This window comes from Homo sapiens, chromosome 13, assembly GCF_000001405.40.
Source record: "Homo sapiens chromosome 13, GRCh38.p14 Primary Assembly".
In the NCBI taxonomy this organism is placed as follows: domain Eukaryota; kingdom Metazoa; phylum Chordata; class Mammalia; order Primates; family Hominidae; genus Homo; species Homo sapiens.
The window spans coordinates 48,237,945-48,259,362 of NC_000013.11; the positions used below are offsets into that span (position 1 = coordinate 48,237,945).

A 21,418-nucleotide genomic window follows, 5' to 3' on the forward strand; every position below is an offset into this window, starting at 1 on the left:
TTTTTTGGCAAACGTGGCATTTTATTAGAGCTTAAAGACTAAAGGAAAAGAAATTAAGGACTTTAGACCGTTACTGAAACCTGTTAAAGGATTTGACAATTCTGAATTTCTGAATGAGGTGATTTTTGCCTAAATGATATACAAAATATTAACACTGGAGCTGTGCTTCACAATGAAAGTCTTTTCCAAAGTAGACAGCTGAAAGTTGAAAATTGGAAATTATAACACTAAGGACATCATTTTTGAAAAATTTCCACTTAATTGTGATTATCCCTTTTAATTAGTACTTACAACACATATTTTTAATAGCTTTAAGGAGATCTACAATACAACCTCATTTTATAAGTGTTATCAACAATTGAATGAACAAGATTATTTTAAATTATTGTGCATTCTTTAAGCTCTTTTATTAGAGGAAAAAACTTTTTGCAGTATTTCTATAATTGTACTTGGGGAAAAATCAGGTAAGAATGAACGTAGACTTTTTATTCTTAAACAGAAAAGTTTGAATCTTGAGTTGTAGCGATGAGGAAATTACCCTTGTTTTTATGGTAGAGATATATTCTGATTTTTCACTTAATGTTTTATCTTTCAGTACTGATAAGTTACCAGCAATAATTTTATGATGTTGAACTAACATAAGTACGACAAAAGAGAAATAAAATTTTCACAGCTTATATATAATACCACTTCTGAGTTAAATATCCTGGACGTTTATTTGGGAAAGTGATACTAAGTATGGTGGTGGATATTTTGTACTTTGAAATTTTGAAATATTTGCATAAACCGTTTTTGGCATAGTTGAATTTCATACTTTAAAAAACAAGTTTGGTGGATTTTTGTGTTTATTTGAATGATTAACTTTAAGGCTCAAATTATTATTTTTTTTTAGTGAAAGCAAGTTTATTAAGAAAGTAAAGGAGTAAAAGAATGGTACTGCATAGGCAGAGCAGTCAAGATGCAAATTATTTTTAAAAGTTGTTTGTTTTCAGAATGAGTTAAGGATAAAGCTTAAGTCTTAACTATTTTCTCTGCTTATATATGATTATAATGTTTTAAATTATTTTATATAAAAATTTTAAAAGATGCATTGTTAATTAAATCACTTGAATCTCTGCAGTATCCAAAAGCAGACCCATTTTTATGCTGGGGAAAATGATTTTTGAGAGCTAGTCTATTTAGCTTTGCATTATCAGTTTTCAGTTTTTCATTTTATATAACTTTATCCAATTCATTTTTTCCTCCCTTTAATACTGGGACATAAAATTTCCTGTCTATCAGTTTTACCTAGGGCCGTGCTAGGCATCTTAAGCAGAGAAGGCAAATTCAGTGTCTCCTGGGCTGAAGCAGATGAATTGTTGAAGCTGGACTTTTTGCATATGAAACAAGTAAGAATATTCTTGGTTTTCCTGCCAGGCGCAAGCCACCGCCTGTAATCCCAGCACTTTGGGATACTGAGGCTGGTGGATCACCTGAGGTCAGGAGTTCGAGATAAGCCTGGCCAACATAGCAAAATTCTGTCTCTACTAAAACAAAAATTAGCCAGGCGTGGTGGCATGCGCCTGTGATTCCAGCTTTTTGGGAGGCTGAAACAGGAGAATCGCTTGAATCTGGGAGATGGAGGCTGCAGTGAGCTGAGATTGCGCCATTGCATTCCAGCCTGGGTGACACAGCAAGACTCTGTCTCAAAAAACAAAAGAATATTCTTGGTTTTCATTTTTAAAACATGAGTCCAGTGTTGCTGGATCCTCCAATTTTCCAAGGCAAGCTAAAAATCAGTACTATTTTAATTTATACAACAATTTTAGCCCAAAACACTGAAGGCATGGGCCACTATTTTATAATCTCCTTTAAAGTGGAACGCAGGACTGGCAAATTATAGCCTATATCTTCAAATACTGCCTGCCTGCTGTTTTTCTGTAGCCCATGGGGTAAGAATGATTTTTATATTTTTTAATGGTTGGGAAAAATATCAAAGGAATGATATTTCTCCTTTTTGCCCAGTACCCTCACTGAATTGTTGGGGAGGGGCTGCTGCTATTCAGGAAGCAGCAGCACTAGCAGAATTCAGGTTATACAGTCATTCTTCAAAAGATTTAAATTTTGTCTCTATCACTTACTTTGATACCTTGGGTAAGTTACTTCAGTTCTCTGTGTCTCAGTTTTTTCATCAGCAAAATAGGGAAAATAATAATCTGTAACAATAATAGCACAATGCCTGGAACAGAGTTAAAAATTAGTAGATTTCAGCTACTGTTATTTTTATTTATTTTTTTGTTGAGAAACAGTCTTGCCCTGTCACCCAGGCAGGAATGCAATGGTGTGATCTTGGCTCACTGCAGCCTCTGCCTCCCGGGTTCAAGTGATTCTCCTGCCTCAGCTTCCCAAGTAGCTGGGATTACAGGCACCTGCCACTATGCCTGGCTAATTTTTTGTATTTTTAATAGAGACGGGGTTTCACCATGTTGGCCCGGTTGGTCTCGAACTCCTGACCTCTTGATCAACTACTATTATTAAAGTCCCAGTTTTCTCTCCTCATCATTCTTGTTTTGGAATATTACTTCTTATATTACTGTTACTGCTTATCCCTGCCTCACATGTCAGTAACAATATTGTTGGTACTTTTTTCACAGCAAGGCATTCTGGTAAAGATTGATTCCTGCAACATAAAAACCCTTAGGATTCAGTAGCTGTACCGATTTCATTTAAAAATGTTATTTATTCATTACATAATAGGTGTTAATAGAATTTGAGTTTTACCAAAGTAATACTAAATTTTAATATGCAAATATATAGTCCTGCCCTATGTCAGAGGAACATACTTTAAAAAAATTGTAGCATCATTGTATACAGTAAAATGCATAGATCATGAGTGTACAGTTAGATAATTTTAAGTCTGTATACCTGGGCTCTAACTCCCAATCAAGCTGAACATTGTTATCAACTCAGAAAGTTATCTTGTGTCCTTTTACAATTTGTTCTCCTTAGAGGTAACCACTATTCTAATTTTTCTCCCCATAGATTAATTCAAAGCAATCATATTCACTTATTAGCTTCTTATGGTCTTTTATTACCATGGTGACCACTAGACCCTCTTCTGCCTTTGTGCAATTTAGAAAAAGATCCCCTCTCTGGTGGTTTGGAGAATAGAGCATCAGTTGGTTTCTAGACCTACTGATTCCCTTGGCCTGGCATCCTTGTACTGGAAACAACCTGCCCAACCATACATGGCGATCTTAACTCCATGTTTCTCACTTTTTGCCCCAGTAGGGCGTGGTGCGGCGGGCAGCAGAGTCTTGCTCTGTCACCCAGGCTCGAGTGCAGTGGCATGATCTCGGCTCACTGCAACTTCCGCCTCCCAGGTTCAAGTGATTCTCCTGCCTCAGTCTCCCGAGTAGCTGGGATTACAGGTGCCCACCACCACTCCCAGCTAATTTTTGTATTTTTAGTAAAGACGGGGTTTCACCATGTTGACCAGGCTGGTCTGGAACTCCTGACCTCAAGTGGTCCACCCACCTCGGCCTCTCAAAGTGCTGGGATTACAGGCTGAGCCATAGCACCTGGCCCTCCATGTTTCTCTTTTAACTCCCTATTTCTCTAAATCAGTGGTTGTTAAACATTTTGCTCTGAGAACTCCTTTATAGTCTTAAAAATTGTTCAGGATCCCAAAGAGCTTTTGCTTTATGTAGGTTATATATATTTCCAAATAACCAAAAAGATTTAAGAAGACTAACAGTAACATTGTTTTACATTCGGCAGTGCCCTTTATTGAATAGCTTAATAGAAGATAGCCGGATTTTCCTATCAAATTCTTCATTCAGTCTGTTGTGATATGGTGCTTAGCTTCTGGAAAATTGCACTGTACAATTTTTATTGTATATAAACATAGCGAGAGAATGAAAGTGAAAATGACAGTTTTATTATTTAAACTAACACAGTCTTAGTTTTATTATGAAAAAAGTTTGACCTTGTGGACCCCCTGAACGGGTGTGTTCCTGGACCACATTTGCAGAACATCTATTCTAAATATTTGCTTATACTGCTGTTTCATGGTTTGTTTTCATTTGTTTTATTTTTTGCAGTTTTAGATAATACCTATTGATAATAGCTACATGGAAGGTGAATATTTAGCTTTTTCTGAATATTTACACACTGCACACATGATCTCTTCTCCTGTTCTAGCAATTTCTGGTTAAATTGATATTTAGTGTTTTTTATTATAATTAACATAAACATTAGTTACATTTGAGTATTGTAGTATACTTTTATTTTACTTCCATTCTTGTATAACAACTTTTTATTTTCCCTGAATTTGATCATGCTTCTTGGGGCAGGAGAGAGGGTTCCTTAATTTTCTACATACTTACTGCTCATTCATTCCTCAGACTCTGACAGCAGTATAATTGTCTTTCTGTGTCTTCAAACTCACCAGGTAACTTACCAAGTTTCTTTCTTTCTTTCTTTCTTTTTTTTTTGATGATTTCTTGCCCATCATTCATTAGTTTTCTATTCCAGACTGGTTGCACTCATACAAATGTCCTGAGAGTCATAATCATCTTGGAAGAATTGCCTTTGTCTTTATCACATGCTAGATCTACAGTTTCATAAATCTGAAGAAAAAGATAAATTTTTAAAAAATCTTACGTGTCTCAGAATCGTTATTCCATCCTCATATTTGATAATTTATCTGGGTGTAAAATTCTAGGTTAGCATTCATTTTTCTCTCAGCATTTTGATGGCATTGCTCCATTATCTTCTAATGTGATGCCATTCTGATTCCTTGTTTGTACATGACTTTTTTTCCCCCTTTGGTTGTCTACAGGCTGGTGATTTTCTCCTTATATCTTTTTTTTCTTTTTTCTTTTATGCTTTCAGCTTTCAACATTTTTATTGACATGACTTGTCTGCTGTCATTCATTTTCATTCTTTGTGGCTTAAGGTTTATTTGTTTTATCCCTTTACTGTCGCTTTATTGAGCTTTCAGGAGGAAGTAAACAAACATTTCACTGGAAATCAATATTAGAACTTCAACTTAGCTATCTTGATAGCTTTTTAAAGATTTGTTAGAATATTTCCTTTTACATTAAAAATTGACTTAATGATAATTAATAATGGATAATAATGGAAACCATCTGAATTACCATTAGCATTAATTTAAGATCAGACAGGATGGTCTAGAAAGATTGATGAGGCATCCTCTGATCGTCCTCTTCAAAGTTCCAAGATTGTCTCCTTCATGAGGAATTTTAGAGGCAACTCATTACCAACTTTGTAGTTTTGCTTTGTGGCATTATTACTCCAACTAACTTAAAAAAGTTTCATTTTTGTAATTAATATGTTGCCTTTTTCATTTATGTTGAAATGCTTATGTGCTGGTGTGCCTTAGTTATTTTCCTTTATTGTTTTAAGTTCACATGTATGTGATTTTAATACTTTTTGCTACCATCCTTTGTAATTTGTTGAACAACAGAGAAAAGCCCTATTAATTTTGACAACATATTAAAAGTAATATTACTGCCTTTGTAATAGTTCACACATGTAGGGCTTATTAGTGTGGGTCAATTTAAGTAAACCTTTTACAACAGTAGAAATTCATGCTGTGGGCCGGGCATGGTGGCTCACGTCTATAATTCCAGCACTTTGGGAGGCTGAGGCAGGAGAATTGCTTAAGAACAGCCTGGGCAACATAGTGAGACCTCCACCTCCACAAAAAAATTTAAAAATTAGCCATGTGTGGTGGTGCACATCTGTAGTCCCAGCTACTTGGGAGGCTGAGGTAGGAGGATCACTTGAGCCCAGGAGGTTGAGGCTGCAGTGAGCCGTGATTGCACTATTACACTCTAGCTGGGGTGACAGAGCAAGACCCTGTCTCAAAAAAAAATTAATTAATTAATTAAAAAGTATATATATTTAATAAAAAAAATCAGGCTATGTGGTTTCTGGTTAGGAGTATTATCCAAGTGTGACATGGTGTCTGTCACTTCATTTATTACCAGAGTTAATTTGCCTAAGCTGTTTGAGTCAGTTTCCTTAAGCAGCACATAGAGTCAAGATAATATTCAGACTTTATTAGCTCTGTGATATTACATAAATAATTTTACTTCTCTGGGCCTCATATTTATCTGTAAATGATGTATTGGATTAAACTACCTTCATGGTACTTCCATAGGGGATCTATTCCTGAGAACTGTATTGATCATATATTCAGAAGCACCTACTGGATAGCCAGGTACTATACCTGGAATTTAAAAATTGCTAAACACCCCAGCTTTCAAGAAACATTGTGTAGCTAGGGAAGACCAACCAGTTATGAAAACCAAATTAGTCACAACCTATTTAAATGCCTATATTTATTCTTAGAAGAAAATCACACCGCTGGATCCAAGAGCCAGGAGAGTGGTGGAGTAAGGGAGCAACATTCAATATTACCACTGAGTTTTTACTGCACATGCCTTCAGTGCTAGGCAGTAGGGCTCATAGGATCAAAGCACTTCTCACATGTAGAGAGACAAGTATTCCTGATCTTTAGAACTATTTTTTCTAGTAGTCATCTTGTTTAACATTTAGAATTCCAAACTTGGACAGAAATTTTCTCTTAACTATCCACATTTAAATTATGTTATACTTTCAGATGAATATACTTGGAATTTTCTTACCAAAAGTTCTGCATTTTAAATGAAATTACCCATATTTGAATATGAATGTATAATTATCTTGTTGAAAGACATTAAAAGCCAGCATTTATATAAAAGTGAGTCTAGAACAGGTTTGTTCTTTTTTTTCTTTAATCTTGACACTGAATTTTATAATGAATTATATAAAATTAGAGCATTCGAATTGTGCTTAAAATTTTTAGGGAAACTGTTGATACTGGTAACAATGTGGAGTTTCATTCAGCCAGTGGTAGAGAAAATCTGTCTTCACCAATTTATCCCGGTAAAGGATATTATTAACAATAAATAACATTTGTATATAATGCTGTTGTTTATGAACATTTACCTGTTTGTGCTAATCTAGGCTTTTTGCTATCCCAGTGCCTTTTACTCACCAATATGAATTTGAAATTCTGCTAAAATTTCACTTTATAAAACGGATACAAGGCCGGGTGCAGTGGCTCATGCCTGTAATCCCAGCACTTTGGGAGGCTGAGGCGGGCGGATCACTTGAGGTCAGGAGTTCGAGACCAGCCTGGCCAACATGGTGAGATCCCGTCTCTACTGAAAATACAACAGTTAGCTGGGCCTGGTGGCATGTGCCTGTAATCCCAGCTACTCGGAAGGCTGAGGCAGGAAAATTGCTTGAACCTGGGAGGCAGAGGTTGCAGTGAGCTGAGATGGCACCACTGTACTCCAGCCTGGGTGACAGTGAGACTCCGTCTCAAAAAAAAAAAAAATGGTTACAGTTCTGTTCAGCATAGATTGAATAAACACAGTAGAGAAATGATGGTCATTTTTTAAACTATGTAGAAAAAAGAATAAGAGATTTTAAACTTATTATTCATATAAATATTCTACTTTGCACTAATCTGCTTGTCTCTGATACAAAAGTGATTAAGTTATGATCCAGTTCTAAATGCATTGCGTTGATAATCTGCCTGTTGTTTTTTTTTTCAAGTTCCAACCTATTTTTATTTAACCTAAAACTGTGCTAGTTTTATGTGATGCTAATAATTTGGTTCAAGTTTCATAGATTTCTGACAGTAGTTACATTATTATGCAGTGGCTTTAAATTTTAATTTTTTTTCATTCTATATTACTGCTTTTATATTGCAGGATTTTTTAACAAAAAAGTATGTTAATGAGGAATCTGTTTTATAGACCTTGTAGTTTAAGTTCTTTTTTTTTTTTTTCGAGACAGAGTCTTTCTCTGTCGCCCAGGCTGGAGTGCAGTGGCATGCAGTCTCTGCTCACTGCAAGCTCTGTCTCCTGGGTTCACGCCATTCTCCTGCCTCAGCCTCCCGAGTAGCTGGGACTACAGGCGCCTGCCACCACCCCTGGCTAATTTTTTGTATTTTTAGTAGAGATGGGTTTTCACCGTGTTAGCCAGGATGGTCTCAATCTCCTGACCTCATGATCCACCCGCTTCAGCCTCCCAAAGTGTTGGGATTACAGGCGTGAGCCACTGCACCCAGCCTAAGTTCTCCTTTTTAAAGCCTTCCCCTGTTCGAATTCCAGTACAGAATAATTCCATAACTTCATTAATCATAACATGTTGGTATAATTCCCAATTTTGACTGTAAATACTAATTTAACTTAACTAAATGAAATCTAATATTGACAGAAGGTCAGAGGCCTTTGTGAAATAGAGTACTCACAAATATAGAGAGCAGCTTTCTGTGTAATGCCAGACACTAGGAAAACTGCTTCCTTTTTATGTGTCAAACATTTATCACGTGGACTTCCTCACTACAGTCAAGACAGCAGCAATCTCATTTCAAAAGGCAAATTAAAAAGCAAAATTCAGATACTGATTTAAGTGAATAAGAAAAAATGCAAACAAATGTTTGATGTCCTCATGGATTGTTAACTTCTCAGCCAGAGATTTTGTGTCTTACATATACCAGATATATTTGATAATCAGTGCAGTTAATAATTAGCGGATCACCACATCATGTCCTTTTGATGCTTTCATACTGAGGAAAGAAACCTAATGTAGAAACCAAATGAATATGTCCCAGTGTACAAAACCCAGAACTCAAAACCCTTTATATGGAGAAGTAGTTTAGATTGATTATTTAATATAAATAGGATCCCAGAAGGAAGTATACCCAGTCATAGCTGGAAGTGAAGATCAGAATTCAAAACCTATATTTGGTCTCCAAGTAGAGAGAAAAAAAAGATAAGAGAGAAGTTGAAAATACTAGAACATTGATGGGAAATTTAGTTTTTGGTTTTGTTTTGTTTGAGATGGAGTCTCGCTCTGTCACCAGGCTGGAGTGCAGTGGCATCATCTCAGCTCACTGCAACCTCCGCCTCCTGGGTTCAAGCGATTCTCGTGCCTCAGCCTCCCGAGTAGCTGGGATTACAGGCACAAGCCACCACACCCAGCTAATTTGTGTATTTTTATTAGAGACGGGTTTCACCATGTTGGCCAGGATGGTCTCGATCTCCTGACCTTGTGATCCACCTGCCTCAGTCTCCCAAAGTGCTGGGATTACAGGCATGAGCCACTGCGCTTGGCCGGGAAATCCTAGTTTTTAAAAGTGCGAATCACTAAATTTTTTTAATGTCCCAGCTGTTTTGCTGTTTTGGAAAGCATTATACCAGCCAAACAACACATCTGTGGGCAGCTGTCCTATGCACCCCCATATTTACCTATGTTACCCAGCATGTTTCTGAGTAACTAAATCTATTTCTGAAGGTTCAGTATATTTTGAGTTGAATAAATGGTATTGGTTCTTTTTTTATGTATATTTTTTGATAATATAATTTTTAACACTAAGAGTTGTTTTCCTCATTAGTATCCTGATTCCTAAAGCACTGTTGTTGAATTTGATACAGAAATGTAAAATATTGTATCTGAGCACTTTGAAAAATGTCTCTTAAAAGCTTCAGTCATCCTGTAAAAAAATGTTCAAATAGAGGTGCCTAAGAATATAAAGTGATTTGTTAGTTTGAGAACAGAATTGAAATTATACGAAAAAATATACATTTTATTTAAGTTTATAATTGAAGCACATTTACTAAAGCCTCTTAGGGAACTGATTGAGGTGACCTAATTCTTAACTAATTGAAGTACCAGAAAAGAATTTGTCCTTCATTTTGTTTAAGATATAACTTCTTAAGTAATTTTATTTTATTATCCAATGCTGAGATTTATTTGAACTAGAAATTAGTACTGTGCCAGAGTGAGAGTGCTCCTGAAAGCCAGGTCTTTCTATATCTACTGTTGCAAGGTGGTTATAGGCCAGCGTGTGCTGCAGTGTCTTCTTTTATAAACTGGGCTAAAAAACTTGAGGTTTAGGAAGATTAATTAGATGATAATTGTACAGCACCTGTGGGAGTTCTGTTACCTTTTAAGCGCGATGCAAGGTGCACCAGTTTTATTGCAGTAGAAGGGAGGAAACGTCTCGGTGACTTGTTTTAAATTAGGCCAGGTAAAGTTATATACCCCAGTGAAGAAGCTCTTACTTGTTAGTGGTTTTTTTCTTTTTAAAATTATGAAATATTTCAGGCACACAAAATACAGAGAACCTGAAGTATATTTTATATGTTTTGAAAGTCTTAAATATCACATACTTACATAATACTTAAATATGTGGTGTTATATGTTGTGCAACGTGCCTTTTTTGGGGGGGTCAGCAATTATGTTTCTTAGGCTTATCTAAAAATCAGCAGTGCTAGTACTTTTTTTTTTTAATTTTTATTTTTTAAAAGAGATAGGATCTTGCTATGTTGCCCAGGCTGGTCTGGAACTCCTGGGCTTGAGCAGTCCTCCTGCCTCTGCCTCCCAAAGTGCTGAGAGTATAGGCACGAGCCACTGGGCCTGGTCACTAGTTGAATCTTTTTAGCAGTATTATATGAATCTATAATAATTTATTTCGAATTTTTTTTTTGTTGCTGACAATGTAGTGTATATTCTTGGACATATTTCCTTACATATTCAAAAGTTTATCCAGGATTTATACCTAGGAATGGAATTGCTAGGTCATAAGATAAATGTATGTCAGAGGTGTCCAATCTTTTGGCTTTCCTGGGCCACATTGGAAGAAGAATTGTCTTGAGCCACACATAAAATACACTAACAATAGTTGATGAGCTGGGAAAAAAAATCACAAAAAAAGTCATAATGGTTTAAGAAAGTTTGTGAATTTCTGTTGGGCCACATTCAAATCTGTCCTGGGCCACACACGGCCATGGGCCACGGGTTGGACAAGCTTGATGTATGTTTATTAGATACTGCCAAATTGTTCTCCAAAGCAGTTGGACCTAAATTTCTGTCAATTGAGTGGAAGTTCCCAAGTTCCCTTTGTTACACACTTTTTCTAGCACTTGGTGTTAGACATTCTTTTATTGCCTGGTAGACAGGAACTCAGTTGATTTCTTCCCCACCCTCCATATCAAAATATAATTTACATGGAATAAAACTCCTGCATTTTATGTGTACAATTTGATTGAATTTATGGTAATTGTATAAAGTCATATATCCACCCCAACAATCAAGATACGAAAGATTTCCATCACCCAAGTAATTAGTTTCCTCATGCCTGTTTGTAGTCAGTCTCCCCTTCCCCAGCCAGTAAGCTGCTTTTGTCATTATGGTTTTGCCTTTTCTAGAATTTGATAAAGATGTGATCATATAGTGAGTAATCTTTTGTGCTAAACTTCTTTCACTTAGCATGTTTTTGAGATTCAGTCCCGCTGGTGTGTGTTATTTTGTTCCTTTTTATTGCTATCTATTTCATGGTATGAATATACCACAATTTATTCATCAGTTGATGGATATTTGGGTTGTTTCTAGTTTGGGGCTAGTATATAAATAATGATGCTGTAAATATTCATGACTAAATTTTTGACTCAGTTGATTTTTGATTATTGATCTTTAAAAATCTTGCCACCCTCTAATTAGTTTAAATAATTTGACTTTCTTAGATTTTCTACATAGACAGATTATTTACAAATAATAACAGTTTTTTCTTTTTTCTAATACCTAATCTTTTTATTGTTTGTGTACTTGCTGTAGGATCTCTAGTACAGTGTTCAGTGGAAACAGTCAATTTTAGTGGGCATTCCTGTATTCCTCAATTAAAAGGGTATGGTGAAGTATTAAAGTTTCACCATTAAGTATGAGGCTTTCTATAGGCTTTTGATTATTAGCCTTACTGATGTTAAAGAATTTCACCCTTTGCTAGTTTGCAAAGATTTTTTTTTAATGGAAGTTGAATTTTGTCAAATACATTTTCTGTATATTTTGAGATAGTCATGGGGTTTTTCTTCTTAAATCTCACGTGGCTTTTTCTTTAAGTAAAGCTTACTCTTTGAAGTGTTAAAATTTAATCACTCTAAAAACACTTTTAATAAATCTCTTAGATTAAAAACTTTTAAATCTTGAGCATACTTTAATCCCTTCTCCATGACTCGGATTGTATTATGGAACATCATTTATCTATCATACGTGATGTTAATTCTTGACTATAAATCGCTCAAAGTAGGAGCCATGTCTTAATCACATTTGATTTCCCACAGGATCTAGCACAGTATATTGCAAATAGCAAGCCTTACTTAATAAATGCTGAACTAGGCTACTGCTCTTGCTAAATAGCCACAGTTTGTTTTACGTTATGAATTATGTTGCATCTCTCCCTTCCCTTATTATCACGCTGGCTGCTGGTATAACTTTTATGAATCATAAAAAATTAAATAACCAGGCTTTTTAAAAAAATAGATCTAAGTTGGCCGGGTACGGTGGCTCAAGCCTGTAATCCGAGCACTTTGGGAGGCCGAGGCGGGTGAATCACGAGGTCAGGAGATTGAGACCATCCTGGCTACACGGTGAAACCCTGTCTCTACTAAAAATACAAAAAATTAGCCGGGTGTGGTGGCGGGCGCCTGTAGTCTCAGCTACTCGGGAGACAGAGGCAGAAGAATGGTGTGAACCCAGGAGGTGGAGCTTTCAGTGAGCTGAGATCGCGCCACTGCACTCCAGCCTGGGCAACAGAGCGAGACTCCATCTCAAAAAAAAAAAAAAGATCTAAGTTTTATTCACTCATCAAATATATGAGTGCCAGCTAATGCCAAGCCTAAGCTTGGCTTGGAGCTACCAGTAATGCAAAATGAATATGAATGGATACTTAAAAGATCTTATAGCCTAGTAGAGAGAGATAAGATCTTTATGTGAATTATTCTCATGAAAGAAAAGTGATAATTAGGAATTTAGAGAACAAAGATTAGATAGACTTTGAAGATTAAACAGCTCTTCTATGAAGTACATGATGGTGGTGCATAGGTTTGGGGTCTATAATTTGGCTGACCAAAGACTCTTGTTTATTTCCTGATTCTTAAGCCACGTTTCACGTTGTTGAGGTGCTGAATAAATTGACCTGTGGATAAGTGAAGTATTTGTAAGTGAAATTCCTCAAGAAATTGAATTTTAAAAAAATATTCAATAGTGCTGAGAAGTGATTTTTGAATGAACATGAGAAGTCAAACTCTAGCATGGTTTACAAAGGTCTTTTGTGACCTGCACCAGCTTCTTGTCCATCATTTCTCATACTCATCTCCACCATATTGGGCACTCCAGCCAAAGCACATGTGGCTCTTGGAAATGTCATGCATTTTAGCTCCATAAATTTTGAAAAATCATTGCCATATATAAAATTTCCTTTAACTCTATCTTCTGCTGAGGTAATGAGTATTTGTCCTTTAACATTCCACTAAAGTATTTTCTCCCTTGGGAAGTCTTCCTGAAACTCATCCCCTCTTATGTGCTCTCTGTGCATTTTCCTATTAGAGTTTGTATCATATTTATTTTCTTTTTGTATATTTATCTGTTTTCCGGACTGATCTAACAGGTCTCTTTCTTGGCAGAGCATACATTTCCAGTGCCTAGCACAGCTCTTGGCACATAGTAGACATTTATAATTTATTCTCAAAATGATTGTTGAACAGTTAAAAATGATATATTACAATGCCTTGAAACTTGTCATCAATTTGCCAGTTGGGGCTGCGTATTCTTTTACAGATGTCTGCCTGTGCTGTTTGGCTATTCATTTATGTACTATTGGAAGAGAAAGCCTGCCAAATGGGGTGGGTGTGTGCGCACATTTGGCTGTCCCAGCAGCTGATACCAAATGTTGGAAATAACTATTTCCATCTGTCATTTTCATCCCCCCCACTCTCCTTCCACTCTAAAATTAATTATGTTAGGAATGATTTCTTACCTCCTTAGATATTTATGTCAGACAAGGGCTCAAGCAAAAGATGTATACTTCGTCATTAAAGTTTCATAATACCTTATGACTCCATGGAATTCTTGTAGCTTTCTTTTCACAGCTGGGATATCTTACATGGCTTGCTAAATTCTTCAGACTTATTCTCATTACATACTTTTCTTCCTTGCAATACGCTCATTGTCTTTCACACATAGTATATTGACAAGTGCTACAGAAACCATGACATTCTCATAGCAATGCACTGATTCTTAGAATACACATTGTTTGTTGTTCAGTGTTAAATTCTATGTTTGAAATCTCAACCTAGGAACACACTGTATCGTATCACATTGTTCTTGGTTGCTTCAACATCTGGGATTAGACCTTTTTCAGTTGTATCATGTTAAAGTTCCTCATTTTAGAATTAAAAACATATAATCTTAGGTTTCATTCGTAACTGAATTCTTGCTTCAACCAAATCTATGTTCTAATACCGGGGTCCCCAACCGCCAGGCCACAGACCAGTACCGGAACTGGTCTTGGCTAGGAACTTGGCTGCACAGTGAGCATTGCTGCCTGAGCTCCGCCTCCTCTCAGATCAGCGGGGGCATTAGATTCTCTTAGGAGCGCAAACCCTATTGTGAACTGTGCATGTTAGGGATCTAGGTTGTGCGCTCCTTATGAGAATCTAATGCCTGGTGATCTTCTGAGGTGGAACGGTTTCACCCCGAAACCATATCCCAACACCCCTCAGTCTGTCTGTGGAAAAATTGTCTTCCACAAAACTGGTCCCTGGTGCCAAAAAAGGTTGTGTAGTGCTGTTCCAATGACCGATCCTGTTTTTGTGCATCATTCATAGTTTTTCTTTCTAATTTTATATCCTATTATATAGGTTTAGGTGAAGTCTGCTTTCTGCCTTAAGCCTACTCCATAGTGGGTTTTCCAAGTAAAGGACAGAGTCATGTACTTCAAAGAGGCTGTTCATGTATACTATGAATTTTTGCAGTCTTTACTATTTATTGAGTGACTACTTATTTAAGTATCTTTGTTTTCTTAGCTCTTTGCACATGAACTTGGGTACAAATCAGAAATTTGCTGTAATTCTAAAGTGACAGATTAGAGGGATCAGGTTAGAAGGGCACAGGGAGGGAATATCTAGGAATTATGAATGTCATGACCCCAAATAATGTTCTAATGCTAAATTGTTTTCTTAAGTGGATAGAAATGAAAATTTTATAAAATTCTGTGCTAGTTTTGTTTCTTGAATTTATCAGTAAATTTTTATCATTGAATATGTTCTCATTTTTTTCTACTGCTTCTATCTTTAAAAGAAAGTGAAGAATTTTATCAGACCATGGTTTAGGGTAGAGCAGTGGCATAATAGGATTATGTATTTCTATGTATATAATTTTGTCCTATTTTTTGAAATTCTAATTGTTTAAATAATTTTAGTATCATTGTTTGTTCTTTTCCTTATTTTCCTGTAATTTTTTCTTGTGGATGGTTTAGAATAGTTTTATACCTGGTATGAAATATAAACCACCTGTAGCAGGCCTAACACATAATTTCATAAATGATCAGATAGAGAGATGCCCTGGATTTATAATGTACAAGGCTCATCATCATATTATGTGACTAAGTTGTAGCATAACCTCTTCTAAATTATTAAATTATAGAATATATCACCAAAAGTTGTGCATGGAAAGTAAAAATTATGGAGTGTATCATTGCTTGAGGCAGGGTTAGCAGGTAGGGTGTTGAGATTAGAAGTAGACAACTCTCCTAGAGACCAATGTCCCAGTCCAAGAACCATTAAGATGAGCCCTGGAGCTACCACTTAATCATTCCTGGGTTGATTTTGATGAGAGACACAACTCCTTTGGTCTTTGTGTCTTCATTTATTAAAATGATAATCATTAAGGTTTTTCTAGTCCTGAGCCTTCTGTTATTCTGTCTGGAGATAAGATATTTAACTGTCTTTTTCATATTTTAGGACCCAGATGATGTGGTACCAGTTGGCCAAAGAAGAGCCTGGTGTTGGTGCATGTGCTTTGGACTAGCATTTATGCTTGCAGGTGTTATTCTAGGAGGAGCATACTTGTACAAATATTTTGCACTTCAAGTAAGTGGAAAAATTATTTTGTGTCTCTGATTTTTTTTTTTTTTTGCCTCTCCCGATGTGCATTACAAAATTGTTTACAACTTGCGCTAAGCTTGTACTTTTTATCTGTGACCTTCAGCCAGAGTGGTAGTTCTATTTTAAAGCTGTGTTTAAACATCTCTCCATGATATGTTTGCTGAGCCCATCACACACAGTCACTAAAAGCAGAGTAACTTGAAATGTTGGTGACTAAGGGATTTATTTAGGTCATTGGGTGATTTTACTAACCTTTATTTTCCTACTATAATTAAGGGTTGAGAGGAATAGTATTATCAATTGCCAGTTGAATAAATACATCAGCCACAAATGTTTTCATGTTGATAGGCCATAACTTGATAGTCAGCTTGGACTCCCCTATGGTCCTGCTGTACCCTTGGGCCCAGAATACAGTAAGACCATGTCTCTGCTTCTTTTCCAGTCATGGTTTCACTAAAGAACTGGGTGACTTCAGCAGTGATATTGAAATAACATAGGATGAAAGTTGTTTATAACTTTGAGTGTTTAATAGTAATCCCAGTGGGTTAAGACAAAGGTCTTCCTTGTGATTGATTATAATTTACAATCTATTTTGTAATATATTTCTCTTGGCAATAATACACAATTTTTTTTTTTAGGAGTTTTGAAGGGGAAATTACTTTCAAGGTTTTATGACTACTTCAGCTGTTTCAAAATTTGGAGAAACAGTTGACAACTAGACTTATTAAAATAATTTAACTAATTTTGAAACATTCTCAATTTCATGCTCATTTTCTGTGTTGTTCAAGATAATCAATCACATGTTGATAGACATTACCAAAATACTAGTCATCTTTTTAAATACAGTTTTATTTACAAGAAATACATATAGTATAGAAAAAATCATCGCAATTCCATTTTCCAGAGATAACATTTGGTGCATTAACTTTTTTTTTTTTCTTGAGACAGAGTTTCTCTCTTGTTGCCCAGACTGGAGTCCAATGGCGCGATCTCGGCTCACTGCACCCTCTGTCTCCCGGGTTCAGGCAATTCTCCTGCCTCAGCCTCCCAAGTAGCTGAGATTACAGGCACCTGCCACCACTCCTGGCTAATTTTTGTACTTTTAGTAGAGACAGGGTTTCATCATGTTGGCCAGGCTGGTCTCAAACTCCTGACCTCAGGCGATCCACCCACCTTGGCCTCCCAAAGTGCTAGGATTACAGGCGTGACACACCATGCCTGGCCCTGTGCATTCACATTTTGTATACCCTTAGTCTTTATTGTGTGTGTAGTGTGTGTAGTGTGTGTGTGTGTGTGTGTGTGTGCGCGCGCGTGTGCGTGCGCGCACGTGTACATGTACTGTGTGTTTGGCTTTTTTTGAGATGGGGTCTCACTCTGTCATCCAGGCTGGAGTGCGGTGGTGCAATCACAGCTCACTGTAGCCTCAACCTCTTGGGCTCAGGCAATCCTCCCGCCTCAACCTCCCCAGGAGTAGCTAGGACTACAGGTGCGTGGCACCATACCCAGCTAATTTTTTTATTTTTTGTGGAGACAGGGTCTCACCATGTTGCCCAGGCTGGTCTTGAACTCCTGGGCTCAAGCAGTCCATCTGTCTCAGGCCTCCTCCCCACAAAGTATTAGGATTACAGGCATGAGTTACTGCACCCGACCTTATGTACTGTTTTTTCTTTTTGTAAAAGTGAGACAGTAGCATAAAGATTTGCTGTAATCTAATATTTTCCACTGAATTGTGATATAAAGGGAAAAGTAGAACTACGTATATGCATATAGAAATTTCAGAAAAATTATCCCTTTTTTGGCTAATAAGAAAAAAGTCATTTAATTAGTAGACCATATCAAAACTTTTTAATATATTCTTTCAGAAAAACTTGACTAGTTTTGGAATGTATTCTTCTATAAAAACTGCTTACAGGTAGAGTAGGTCTGTTGTTTCTTTATATTTATTTGTTACTGGATAGCTAATTATTTTTATGTTCTATTTTCACCTACCAGGAAAAGTAAAGGGAAAACCAGCTGCCTTTCTTCTGAAGCTGTTCTTTTACAGTGCTTCAAAACCTGATCTTAAAGAATATGTTAACTCTGTAATTAAACTGTCTGACTTGTCATCTAAAAGCAAGAGTTTGCAAGCAAAATGCTATTTAGATAGAGGTGGCAGCTTAAGTAATGCTTATTTAAAAACCTGTCTCATGCTGAATTGCTGAAATGAGTCTTTAAACTCTCTATAGCCAGATGACGTGTACTACTGTGGAATAAAGTACATCAAAGATGATGTCATCTTAAATGAGCCCTCTGCAGATGCCCCAGCTGCTCTCTACCAGACAATTGAAGAAAATATTAAAATCTTTGAAGAAGAAGAAGTTGAATTTATCAGTGTGCCTGTCCCAGAGTTTGCAGATAGTGATCCTGCCAACATTGTTCATGACTTTAACAAGGTGAGCCAAGTGTCCAGAATTGTAGAAAGAATGCAGGTTCTGTAGTTTATGCTTTTTGTAGTTTTAATTTCAATATTTGCTAATTTATTATATTTAGAGTTTAGTTTAATAAACTGTCAGCATTTGGTGGGCTCTGCTATGTCTGAAGCAGACCCTGCTGATGCAGCCTTCTCATATCTTATCTCTCCTTCCCCTTGCCTTACCTACTCTTAAAGCCCACCTCATGACTGTTCCTCCTTTGCTGGCAAACTAATATTTTTTATATGTTCCCACATTTTCTTAGATAAGAGGTAATTTATGTTCCTGTTTCTTGGTAGCATTTTCAAAATCAATAATTTTGTTAATCTGTTTTTAAGTTCTCATTCTATATTTTTCCCCAGCTTTTGAGCATTTTTATGTAATGCAGAAAAGTTGAATACCCAAAATCCTCCACTTTGTTCCAAATATTGCCATATTTGCTTCATCTCTTTTTCTGTCATTTGACATAAGTACTTATGCTATTATCTCTCAAGAATGAGTTGTCCTCCTACGTAACCACATAATTATCACATCTAAGAAAATTAACATGATCTTATAGGACAGTAGTCCCCCCTTATCCGTGGGGGATACATGCCAAGACCCCCAGTGGATGTCTGAAACTGCATATAGTACCAAACCCTGTATATACTATGTTTTTTCCTGTTAGTGTACATATATACATATGTTAAAATTTAATTTACAAATTAGCCACAGTAATAGATTAACGACAATAATAATAAAACAGTTATAACAAAATACTATAATAAAAGTTATGTGAAGGTGGTTTCTCAAAATATTTTATTATGCTGTACTCACCTAGGTATTTGTGGACTGTAGTTAACTAAAGGTAACTGAAACTCGAGAAGCACAACCTCAGATAAGAGGGACTACTGTATTTAATATGTTTACATTTCTGTTTATGTTTACATTTCCCCAATTTTTGTCCCAAGAATTTTTTGTTTTTTCAAATCAGGATTCAGAGATTCAGAAGTTCATGTATCACCTGTGATTTTTATGTCTCTCTGTAAGCTTGCCATTTTGAACACTCGAATATATTACTGAAGTTAGCTTTGCAAACATTTCGTGCCTGATAAATACATCTGATGGATGTTTATAAACCAGTTTGAAAATTTACTTATTTCAAGGAAATAAACTTCCAAAGCAAATAGTAAATAATAATAGTTAACACTTACTGAGCTCTTAGGAATCAAAATGTTGACATTATTTGATTTAAGTTATTCTTAAAAACCGTTCTATGAGACAGTCTTTCTCAACCAGCGTTTCTCATTTGAACCACAGAACACAAAATCATTTAAATGACTGTTTTTCTAATGTTCTAAGGATGGTAGTATTCAAGATACATATGAGAAAATTTAATCTTTACAAACAATGGACAGATAACCTTAGAGGGCATTTGAGCTTATAAGTGGGGAAGTTAAATTGCTTAATTATATAATAAGTATTTGCAGTTAATTTGAATAGGTATTATTACTTATTATAGAAATATACCCTCGATGAGCATTTTATTTACTGGTAGCAATATTTTTTCCTCTCCCATTCCCACTTCCAACTTTATCCAGCCAAATTCTGAATTTGTTGAAATGCAAGTGATTTATACATTCTAAAGCCAATTCATTTTAATGATACAAATTATTCTTAAAAATCCAGTTGCTGCCTGTTTTTGCAAGTATTACTGTAACTACACTGTATCTTTTTCTTCCCAGAAACTTACAGCCTATTTAGATCTTAACCTGGATAAGTGCTATGTGATCCCTCTGAACACTTCCATTGTTATGCCACCCAGAAACCTACTGGAGTTACTTATTAACATCAAGGTATAAGAATGTTGACTGTTTTTGATGAATGATGCCTTCATAGTGTTCTGGAATTCCCTGTTGAGAAATTAGCCCTATAGGAGCCCATTTTATCAGACTGTAGTTAAGAATTTTACAAAGAGGAACTAATACTCATGGTTTTTGTTTTTAATGTTTTATATCTTGAAATTGAAATAAATTTCTCAAATAATGTTTTAAGTTTTCCTAAAGAGCCAGGGAGTAAATATTAGCCAACTACTTAATTCTGGTGCCATAGACAATACGTAAAACAGATGAACATGACTATATTCCAAAAAAAATTCTACTTATAAAAACAAGCCGGGGGCGGTGGCTCATGCCTGTAATCCCAGGACTTTGGGAGACCTAGGTGGGAGGATTGCTTGAGGCCAGGAATTTGAGACCAGCCTGGACAACATAGTGAGAACATAAACAAACAGATGGTGGGTAGTAGTTTGGCAACCTGTTCCATACCATAATGTGTAAGAATTTTGTCTTGTTTCTCTAGTCTACTCAGTGTATGTTCTGAGATAGTCATGTCATGTATTCTTTTCTGAATGTAGGCTGGAACCTATTTGCCTCAGTCCTATCTGATTCATGAGCACATGGTTATTACTGATCGCATTGAAAACATTGATCACCTGGGTTTCTTTATTTATCGACTGTGTCATGACAAGGAAACTTACAAACTGCAACGCAGAGAAACTATTAAAGGTAATACTTTTTAAATATTAAAGTGTTGGGCAGAAAAGTTCATTGCATTAAACTAGATTTAGGTGAAGCCTAGTCATTGTTACCAATATACCTGCCATGAGTGAGGTAATATTGTGTCGTTATATAATATTTCCAGGTTTCTATAGAATTATCTTAATTCCATTTAGTAAGTCCACTCTTTTCAGGTGGAGAGAAAAGGTCAATGTGAAATGTCATTGCCTTGAGATGATGGTACCTCATTTTCCATCTAGTTAGTCACCCTGTCCAACTTCCCATCCTACCACTTTGGTTGAGCCATACTGAAAGGGTTTTTATTATCCAGAGGGTGTCTTGGGACCAGCTCTTCAGCTGTGTTTTCAGGGATCTGGATTCTAAGCAGGCTGTTTGCCTTTTGGATCATATTGGGAATAATCAC

The 21,418-nt window shown here is 36.1% G+C and overlaps 1 protein-coding gene across 1 annotated transcript in view, besides 1 other annotated feature; it reads left to right on the forward strand.

Moving 5' to 3' along the window:
* ITM2B (integral membrane protein 2B) overlaps positions 1–21,418 on the forward strand; it is a 37,152-nt gene that overhangs the window by 4,739 nt on the left and 10,995 nt on the right. The window contains exons 2-5 of the mRNA NM_021999.5: positions 15,864–15,992; positions 18,233–18,439; positions 20,182–20,292; positions 20,853–21,003. Of these exons, the coding sequence (NP_068839.1) occupies positions 15,864–15,992; positions 18,233–18,439; positions 20,182–20,292; positions 20,853–21,003 (598 nt within the window). The remainder of the gene's footprint in view (positions 1–15,863; positions 15,993–18,232; positions 18,440–20,181; positions 20,293–20,852; positions 21,004–21,418) is intronic.
* Positions 3,357–3,857: an enhancer, noted in NCBI's record as "H3K4me1 hESC enhancer chr13:48815437-48815937 (GRCh37/hg19 assembly coordinates)". NCBI's record gives its function as "activates a minimal SCP1, AML or CMV promoter by ChIP-STARR-seq in naive H9 embryonic stem cells {active_cell/tissue: H9 hESC(naive)}" and the evidence as "EXISTENCE:reporter gene assay evidence [ECO:0000049][PMID:30033119]".